The 6,349-nt window shown below is 47.0% G+C and overlaps 1 annotated feature.

Annotated features, from left to right (window-relative positions):
- Nucleotides 1,193-1,882: an enhancer, noted in NCBI's record as "H3K27ac-H3K4me1 hESC enhancer chr14:21439271-21439960 (GRCh37/hg19 assembly coordinates)". NCBI's record gives its function as "activates a minimal SCP1, AML or CMV promoter by ChIP-STARR-seq in primed H9 embryonic stem cells {active_cell/tissue: H9 hESC(primed)}" and the evidence as "EXISTENCE:reporter gene assay evidence [ECO:0000049][PMID:30033119]".

Genomic DNA, 6,349 nt, shown 5'->3' with positions numbered 1-6,349 from the left:
AGGCACAGTGGATAATTCCCTCCTTTTTGATGAGGATGACCTGAGAATGGGGCTTCTTGTGACAGGAATAGGGACGAAAAGCGTTGTGAGATCAGTCCTGGTTCCTCAATGCAGGCAGTCATGTCGAGGCTGCGTGATGGTCTCTGGGATGCCCCTGTCTCCTGGCTCTTTCCTTACCATCCAGGCCTTTCATTCTTAGGCTCCTCACACGTTTTTCCTCTTGCCTCTGGTAACTTGATGTTAGAGGTCCCCAGGAGTCAGTCATAGGTCTTCTTCTCTATCTGCACACTATCCCTTGGTGATCTTATCCAGTCTCAAGGTTTTAAATGCTGTTGATTCTCTAACAACTCCCAAATACATACTTCCAGCCCAGCTCTCTTGCTTTGGACTAGTACATCGGACTGTCTATTTGACATCTTCACTTGGAGGTCTAATAGACCCTTCAGACTTAACATGTCCCACATTAGCTGGGTGTGGTGGCACACGCCTGTAACACCAGCTACTTGGGAAGCTGAGGCACAACAATCGCTTGAACCCGGGAGGTGGAGGTTGCAGTGAGCCGAGATTGCACTGCACTCCAGCCTGGGTGACAGAGCCAGACTGTCTCAAAGAGAGAAAAAAAAAAGCTACCCATTGCTTCCCCCATTCTCCTTCCTGCTTTATTTTTTCCATAGAGCTTATCACCTTAACAGTCTGTGTAATTTACATATATGTTTATTGTCTGTGAGTATACATTATGTGTCTAGGTCACTAGAATGTGACCTCCGTGAAAGCAGAGATTTTTTTTGTACGTATGTCCTGCGTTCTCTGATGACTCCCATACCTCTAACCGTACCTGGCACATAGGTACTCAAGAAATGTTTGCTGAATAAGGCTCCTCAAATCAAGAGCCCCAGTAGGCCGTATGAATGCTGCAAAATAATTGTACTACAGGGACCCATTTGTGGGAATACTCACAGCACTAAAACCCCTTAGTTAAGAGGGATCTGAACAGCCTAAGAGGTTTCTGCCTAACTCCCGGCAGCAACTTCGCAAAGCACTATAGCCACCACACACTGTCCCTGAGATGTCAGAGTCACTGACGGATTTGGGCCCCAGGACAGCCTTTACCAGCTGCTGGTGTGGCCGAGTCTCCATCCACGAGTCCTAGACTGATAGGTTCACTAAGGTATGCAGAAAACCCCCACTCCTCATGTGACAAGTTGCTGGTGGCCCAACCCCCTCTTTATCAGTAGGAACTTCAGCGCTTCCTGACGATGCTTCCTTTCCGGAATCCTCACCCCTCTCTACTCAGCCCGCGGCCTCTCTCACTTCTACTCCAATGGCTGAGCGTCCTTGGCGGCAGAGCGGCACCAGCGGCCCTCGGCGATCCGCGATGACCGCAATGTGTAAGTGCGCCTTCCAGCCAGCAGAGGGCAGGAGCGGCTGCGGTGTCCCAAGCCGGGCTGGTGCGGGCTCCTGCCCGGCCCGTTTCTCTGCTGGTTCCACCTCTCCCCTCAGCTCCCCGCTTCTTCCAGGGCGGGAGTGAGGGAGGGGAGGAGGGCTGGGGGAGTGAGCGCGTGCGGGTGTGCGCGTGTATGGTGGTGCAGGGAAGCCTGTGCTTCGGGAAAGCTTTCCCGGGATGATGCTCTCTGGGCTCATGGGTCCGATTTGCCCACAGCAAATGTCTGTACTATGCAGACATTGAAATAGAATGAGGTCCACTCTCTTCCGATGGCGGGTCACAGGGTCCTGGGAAGGGGATCTGAAGCCCCTCCACCGAGCCACCTCGCTTCCTTTATGGAGATAATCCCCAGACTTGCCCTCACTGCTCTGGAAAGAGCTGCCTGGAGGTGGGGCAACTCCTCCCGCGCGGCCCCTTAAGTGCTGAGGCTGATTCCAGCCGCCGCCACAGTGGCCGGCAGGGGACGCTGCGCCGCCGAGACCCAGCGGGCCGAGAGGCACCAAAGCCGTGTCTCCTGGTTCTTAGCTGAGACGGACTTGAACTTCCAAAAGCCTCCTTAACCACCGAGGAAGCAGGAGAATGAAGAGGCTTCAAATAATGAGCGCCTGCTGTATGCCACGAGCTTTCCATTGCGGAGGTGGCTGGATGTGCAGAAGGAGGGCAGGGCGAGGAAGGAGAGACGGCTGCCCCACTCTCGGCCTGTCTGCCGCGGGCTGCAGGCTTGGGGTTTGGAGGTCAAGTCTATGCTGCATCGCTAGAGTAGTTTACAGTTGTGAAATTCAACTGTAAATTGAAATTCACAGCTTCGTTCTTAAACTTTCTATTACCAGGGACCATTCCTCAGTAGGCTCAGAAAGGGCTACAATGAGGTAGGCTGTTTGATTTTTCTTTTACATATACAGATACGTTGTAAATGCAAATGGCAGAGGTAAATTCAAATATTAGGAGGGCAAATGTAGCGAAAAGGATGAAGACATCCTACTTTTCTTTTCCAGATGCAACAATTTGCAGTTTGTTTATATCTTTTTACTGTCTATGCATATCTACATGTTATATTCATAAACTCATTGACATATATATATAGATGAGTGTTTATTTCCTATTCCCCCCCCCCACAAATAGTAACATTCTATACACAACGTTCTACACATTACCTCTTTTCCACTAACAATGTATTTTAGACATATTTCACGCTAGTAGCAAGAGTATACCTCATTCTATTTTGATGTCTGCATACTACAGGCATACCTCAGAGATGTTGTGGGTTTGGTACTAGACCACTGCAATTTTTATTTTTATTTATTTATTTATTTATTTATTTATTTATTTTGAGACGGAGTCTCGCTCTGTCGCCCAGGCTGGAGTGCAGTGGCGCGATCTCTGCTCACTGCAAGCTCCGCCTCCCGGGTTCGTGCCATTCTCCTGCCTCAGCCTCCTGAGTAGCTGAGATTACAGGCGCCGGCCACCACGCCCAGCTAATTTTTTGTATTTTTAGTAGAGACGGGGTTTCACCGTGTTAGCCAGGATGGGCTCGATCTCCTGACCTCGTGATCTGCCCGCCTCGGCCTCCCAAAGTGCTGGGATTACAGGCGTGAGCCACAGCGCCCGGCCACAATTTTTATTTTTTAAAACACACATTTTTTTGTTTCCCAGTGCATGTAACAGTTATATTGAAGGTGGCCATTGAGACCTGAGAGCTCACGGGAAATAGAGTTCGTACATCTGTACGTTTGCATTTCTGTAAACAAAAGTTCCTTGGCACAGTGCTTAGACTGCGGACAGCATTTTGAGAGTGCCAGCCCTAACTCTAACTGTATGATACAAGTCAGTTAGTCAACCTTTATAAGCAGGTAGGGTGCAACGGACTGAGGGTGAAGCTCTGGTCTGGGCCTGGGATGTCAGTGCAGGGATGGAAAGGCATATCCAGGGAGGTGACTGGAGGCGTTAGTTTGTCAGACAGAGACTAGCCTTATGATGCCAGCTTCCTGGAAAAACAACAGAGGAACTCAGACATGATTCACAAGCCTGGGGCCATGACCATCTGGAAAGGCCAAGCAGAGACTGGTGAGGCCCAGCGAAGGTAGGTTTGATGGCTGTGGATGCAGCCACAGGGGAGTCCCTTAATCCCTCTTACAGGTCACTGAGGAGAACTGCAGTAAGGCATTTCAAGTAGTCACTTACTGAAGACTGCTCTGAGTAGGTCACCCTGCCATTAGCATGGACATGGAAGGTGGGGTGGGTCAGATATATACATAAATATATATATATCCTTAATATTCTGTCCCTCTAGAGAACCCTGTCTAATACACCTTGGATTTCTGGTTTCTAGAACTGTGAAAAAATAAGTTTCTCTTGTATAAGCCACCTAGTCTGTGGTATTTCATTCTAGCAGCCCCAGGAAGGAAATAGAATGGGTAATCTGTAGAGGTCTCCACAAGAAAGGGCAGGGCAGAAGAGGGGGATTAGAGAGAAGGAAGGTACTGGAGATGGGTGCTTCAGAGGGAGGGAGGAATTGTCAAGTGAGTTGATCTGATGAGTCTGTAGAAGAGTGAGGAGAGATGGAGACAAAAACAGTTCATGTGAAGTATGGAGGGCCGGGGTAATGGAAAAGGAGGACCAGCGTCTCAGGGGAAGGGAGACATACATGCTCTACTCTCCTCCTTTTCATTCCCTCCTCTGGGAGGAAAATATGACTCCAGTGTGGACGCTCTTTCTTCTCACCTCCTGGAGGAGACTGTCTTCTCTAGGTCAAGAACTTGGAAAAGTCTCCTCAATCCACTGCCCAGACTCCTGTCCTCCAACAGTTTGGGTCATGGGGATCCCTGACATTTGGAATGAGACCATTCCCCACAGCCCCAGCCTCTGTCTGGGTCAATTTTCCATTCTTACTTTACTGATCTATCAGAAGCATTTAACATAGTATCACTGCCTCCACCTGGGATGATCTGGGAATGAGCTTCCTGTGATAGAAACAGGGATGAAAAGCATCAAGTTCAGTCGTGGTGCCCTTAAGGCAGATAGTCAGGCTGCCTCTCAGTGTGTAGGACACTGCTGTCCCCTGGCCTGTCCCCTACCCTACAGGGCTTTCATTCTCAGTCTCCTATGTGAGTCCCTCCTCTTCCCCCTGGAATTTTGTTGTTGGAGCTTCCTAAGGGTCAGTGGTGGGCTTCTTCTTGATCCACATGACATCTCTTGGTTTTCATCAGTGGGATCAATGGATGAAATGCCATCAACTCCCAAACCAATCTTCAGCCCAGCTCTCTTGGTTGAACTGCAGACTCTTGCATCCAATTTGTTATTTGATAACACCACATGGATGTGTCATGTATGTTGCAGACTTTTTACATCCCAAGTGGAAACACTGATCATCTCCCCAAATCCCCTCATCTACCAGTTCCTTCCTCGGAATTCCTATCTCAGTTGAAGATAACTCCATCGTTTTCAGTGAAAACCAAAGTGGTTTGAAATAATTCTTTACGCTTTCATTCTCTAACATACTCCAGCTAATCTATGGGAAAATACTGTTGTTTCTACCTTCAAAACATGCCTGGATCTGATTACTGATTCTTGGTTCCCCTACAACCGCCAAGTCTGAGACACCAACACCTCCCACTGGCAGAACTGCAAAACCCCGTCACTGTGCCCTTCTTCCACCTTCATCAACCACAGTGGCCACAGTGATCCTTTTACACCATAACTCAGGTCCTGCTGCTCTGCTCAGAACCCCATAGAGCTTCCACATTTCACTAAGTAAAAGCTGGGATCCCTACAATCTCCTGTGCCCTAATGTAATGTGTCCTCCTACGCACTTTTCAGGACACACCTTCTACTCTTTTGCCTCTCAGTCACTCCCCTCTAGTTTCCTGACCTTTTACTGTTCCTTGAGGATACCTGGCATGTGCCTGCTTCATGGCTACTTTAGTCCCACCCCACCTGCATGTGCCGGGCTAAGTTCTTCATCCCCTGTAAGTCTTTGCTCAAAAGTAATTTTCTCAAGGATACCTATATAAAATGATTGTCATATTAAAATGAACAAATAACAGAGCATGGATTTATATCTTAAATTCTTTATGATTTCTTTGCTGCTTTTTAGTACCCTGAAACACCTTCCCTCCAAGTACTTGGTCTTTCTCAAGACCTAAGAATCTGAAAGTATAGTTAAACTGTTATAAACAGTAAGGGACAGTTATGGCTTAATGAGCAGCTTATCAGAACTCAGATGATGAAAAGAGAAACCAGTTATACACTCTTTCTCCGTACCCCTCTATGCTCTATCTTAGTTCACTTTTCAGGCATACGTCCTTTACATATTGGCAAGATGGTTGCAACAGCCCCAAAACCTTATATTATCTCAGAAATAAGCAGAGGAGAAAAAGTCTCCTGCCTTCTTCCCCCAACATTCCCAGCCAATGTCTGATTATTTCGAGGGCCCATCTCATAACCCACCAGGACCTCTGAAATGGGATGAATGCTCTGATTAGGTCAAGTGTGGCCCAAGAATGCTGGTGGTCTTCAAACCCTTTTTGGGGTATCCATGGGGTGCTTCCTTCCTAACCACCCATTTGTGTGAGGCTAGATTCTCTTTATACAATTCAGCAAAACGACATAGTGTAACAGACTGAACGCCAGGCAGACATGAGTGTCCAGATGTCTACATAGACTCAGACATTAAAGAAATTTTGAAAATGTAAAACAATGCCATTCCTTTTAATTTTTTTTGTTTTAAAAAACAGAGTTACTTTTCAAAAAGTATGATCTTTATATTTACACGTAATAATTGTATTAACTGGTTTATGATTAATAGTTATTTAAAAAATAGTTCTAATTTCTAATGAGATAAGTAAATATGAATAATCAACATAAACAAAGGTTTTTTATGGTTCTTAGAAACTTTCAGGTGGTAAG

The sequence above is a fragment of the Homo sapiens genome, chromosome 14, assembly GCF_000001405.40.
Source record: "Homo sapiens chromosome 14, GRCh38.p14 Primary Assembly".
Lineage (NCBI taxonomy): Eukaryota > Metazoa > Chordata > Mammalia > Primates > Hominidae > Homo > Homo sapiens.
This window is presented reverse-complemented; position numbering and strand designations above follow the sequence as displayed.